This window comes from Homo sapiens, chromosome 11 (genome assembly GCF_000001405.40).
Source record: "Homo sapiens chromosome 11, GRCh38.p14 Primary Assembly".
Taxonomy (NCBI): domain Eukaryota; kingdom Metazoa; phylum Chordata; class Mammalia; order Primates; family Hominidae; genus Homo; species Homo sapiens.
This window is the reverse complement of record NC_000011.10, coordinates 76588422-76591348: the sequence shown is the minus strand read 5'-3', so window position 1 is coordinate 76591348 and position 2927 is coordinate 76588422. Positions and strand designations below refer to the sequence as shown.

At 55.0% G+C, this 2927-nt stretch overlaps 1 annotated feature.

Moving 5' to 3' along the window:
• Positions 1064 to 1736: an enhancer, noted in NCBI's record as "H3K4me1 hESC enhancer chr11:76300657-76301329 (GRCh37/hg19 assembly coordinates)". NCBI's record gives its function as "activates a minimal SCP1, AML or CMV promoter by ChIP-STARR-seq in naive and primed H9 embryonic stem cells {active_cell/tissue: H9 hESC(naive and primed)}" and the evidence as "EXISTENCE:reporter gene assay evidence [ECO:0000049][PMID:30033119]".

The following is a 2927-nucleotide window of genomic DNA, read 5'->3' as shown; positions in this document are numbered from 1 at the left end:
TAATGGTGATAGTTTCACAACAACGTGAATGTGCTTCATGCCATGGAATTGTGCACTCAAAAGGGGTTAAAGTGGTAAACTCGATGTTACACAGACTTGGTCACACACTCCTACACTGTGGCCAAGGTGGGATCTCAACTCCAGCCTGATTGCTCTGCCCCCAATTTACCTTTTATGACAGGAATTTAAAGCTTCTTTATCATCTTCAAATGAAGCAAACTCTATAAATGCATATAAATGCATGCATACCCTTTAGATTTGCCATTTAGGTTCTGGGGCACTTTGATAAAAGTTGCCTTCTCAGATACTTCCTGAAGAGCTTTTTGGGGTTTTTTTGTTTGTTTTTGTTTTTGTTTTTTTGAGACGGAGTCTCGCTCTGATCAAGGTGGGATCACATCTGGGACTGTGCAGCACCAGGCTCCATATTTTTGATTATCTTTCAGACAGTAAAGAAACTGTCACCCGCTCAGGGCATTCTGGTAACCCAGGCCACCCACCCTTGACCCTTTTCTTCTTCAGCAAGCATTTCCCAGCTCCTTCAAGCAGGGCCCTGGCTGGGTGCTGGAGACACAGGGATGAGACAGGCCCAGGCCCCCTCTCCAGGAGCTCAGCACAGAGGCTGCTCCAGCTCCAGCTTGCTCTGGTTCCAGATCCAGGAAACCAGCATGTAGAGCAGCCCAGCCAAGGTGAGAATAAGGTCCACCATGTACCTGCAGGCCTCCAGGCCAGGTCGGAAGCAAAAGACGAACTGATCGAGAATGAATAAGATGTTCAAAAAGGCAGGGGCACATATCCAGGGCAGAGAGGACCACTCAGTTAACCCCAGGGGCTAAGGCTTGTGAGAAAGAAGGTGGGGGGCCAGGCTGAAACCCCCAACCTCAGCACAAGACAAGGGCCATGAGCTCAGGAGTCCTGCATCCCTAGATCTAAACACAGCTCTTCCATACACCTGTGGCACATCACTTCCTCTCTGAGCCTCAGTTTCCTCATGGTAAGGCAGTGGGGGGGAGGTGATGTGTTTGACCCTTGACCCCAGATTTCTGAGGATTTTGTGACTTCATACACATCAAATGCCCGATTCAAAACTCTATCCTCCTCCCTCCTCTCCCCCTAGCCCTAAGCCTTTTGAACTCCCTGCCCCTCCTCCTTGGCTCTCTTAGCTGCAAGAGGCCTCAGAGCAGTGGAGGGCAGGGGGTTGTCAGCAACCCGGGCCTCAGCCCCGTGCTCCAGGGCTGACTGCCGGCTCCCAACAGGAGCTGAGTCCCAGCTTGAGCCCCGCATATTGGCCAGGGGCTTTGCTAAATGCCCCCATGTGTGTGCATTTTATCCTGTAGTGAGGTGGGGATTCTTAACATCCATTCTGCAGAAAAGGAAATGGGCTCAGAGAGCCACTTGCCCGAAGCCACACAGTCCTCAGTATTGGGGCTGGCTGACTCCGGCACCTGTGACCTCCCCACTCTATCATCTGTTTGGGTCATCTGCAGGGGACCCTGGACCTCAGGGCCAGTGCTTCCATCCTTCTGCCACACTCCATTCTGGGGGCTGGACTCAGCCCTGCGGCTCAGCCTGCTGTGGGGCAGGGTCTGTTCCCTGCACAAGCTTCCCACTGCCCTCCTGCCCTGTTACCCTGTGGCCGTATCTACCATACACATTCAACCGCAGGGGCCCCAGCCCACCTGATGCCACCAGGGACGGGGCGTTCGTTGTTGGGTCCTCTGCTCTCGCTCTGGTGGGTAAGCCTCGTGGGAGGAGGTACCTTGTCCACCTTTGTCACGCTGTATCCCCAGTGCATGGCACGTGTTCCAGGCCCCATAAATGTTTGAGTGAAAAGAGAATGAATGGCCCACTGAAATGTCCCTGGCACCAAGAGCCAACCCTGCCAGTGCAGGACCATGCCACCCGAGGCCAGGGCCCTGCACTCCCAAGAGTGACCTGGACGGTGTCTGCAGCTGGGTCCCACATGTGCAGATGAATACAAAAACCGAAGCAAGTTCTGAGCAAGGGGTTGGAGGCAGAGGGCTCTGGAAACCACAGTCTGGGAGGGTGGTTGGGGAGCTGGGGTGGCAGCTGTTATCCTGGAGAAGACTCCAGAAGGCCTGCGGATTCATTCATTCATTCAACAAACCCTCCAGCAGTCTGGCCAGGCCACACCCTGAGCGGGCACTAGGGAACAGGGAGGAATCTGACCTCTCCCTGCCCTGCAGCCACTGCCAGGGAACGGGGGCAGAGCTGTGGCAGGCCAGCCCTCTCCACGCTGCTGTGAGTAGAACCTGTGTCGGAGCCCAGATCAAGGTCCCTGCAGGTCCTGAGTGGGGGTCAGGTGACGCCCTGGATTCTGACGGAGCAGAATCTGGCTGGATGGTGATGGTACACAGAGATGAGGAACGCCAGGAAGGACACAGGGCGAGGCAAGATAAGATTCATTCGGGACCTGAGAGACTTGAGGATCTGGTCAGAGACATCTTGAAGACTTCCAAGAGGCCCAGGCGGGTGGGTCTCCAGGCCCAGGGAGGAAGTTCTGGAGTATGTCAGGGTGGAGACATACTGGGGCTCTGAAGCCCCAGGGAAGCTGCGAGTGCTGGGACGCCCTGGAGGGGAGAAGCGTGGACAGTGCTGACTGAGAGGAAGCGCCTCCCCAGCGGAGCCCAGGCCGCTTCCTCCCTTGCTTGGAGCTGGGTGCTGGATAACAGCTAGCCTCAAGCCTTGAGCCGCTGGGGCCTTCCGGCTCAGCCGCGCAGCATACGAAGGAAATAACTTTATTAGCTAGTGGATGAAAAACAGGAAACTGTGACTCGGGCACGGGCCAGTTTCACTCACATCTAGTTTCTAGGAAACAGTTATGTGGCCTCAGACTAGGTTGGGGTTTTCTCAGCCATGCTTTCTGGAAACGCCATGCTTTTCTCAGGAAAACCCATGTCCTGTAGGCC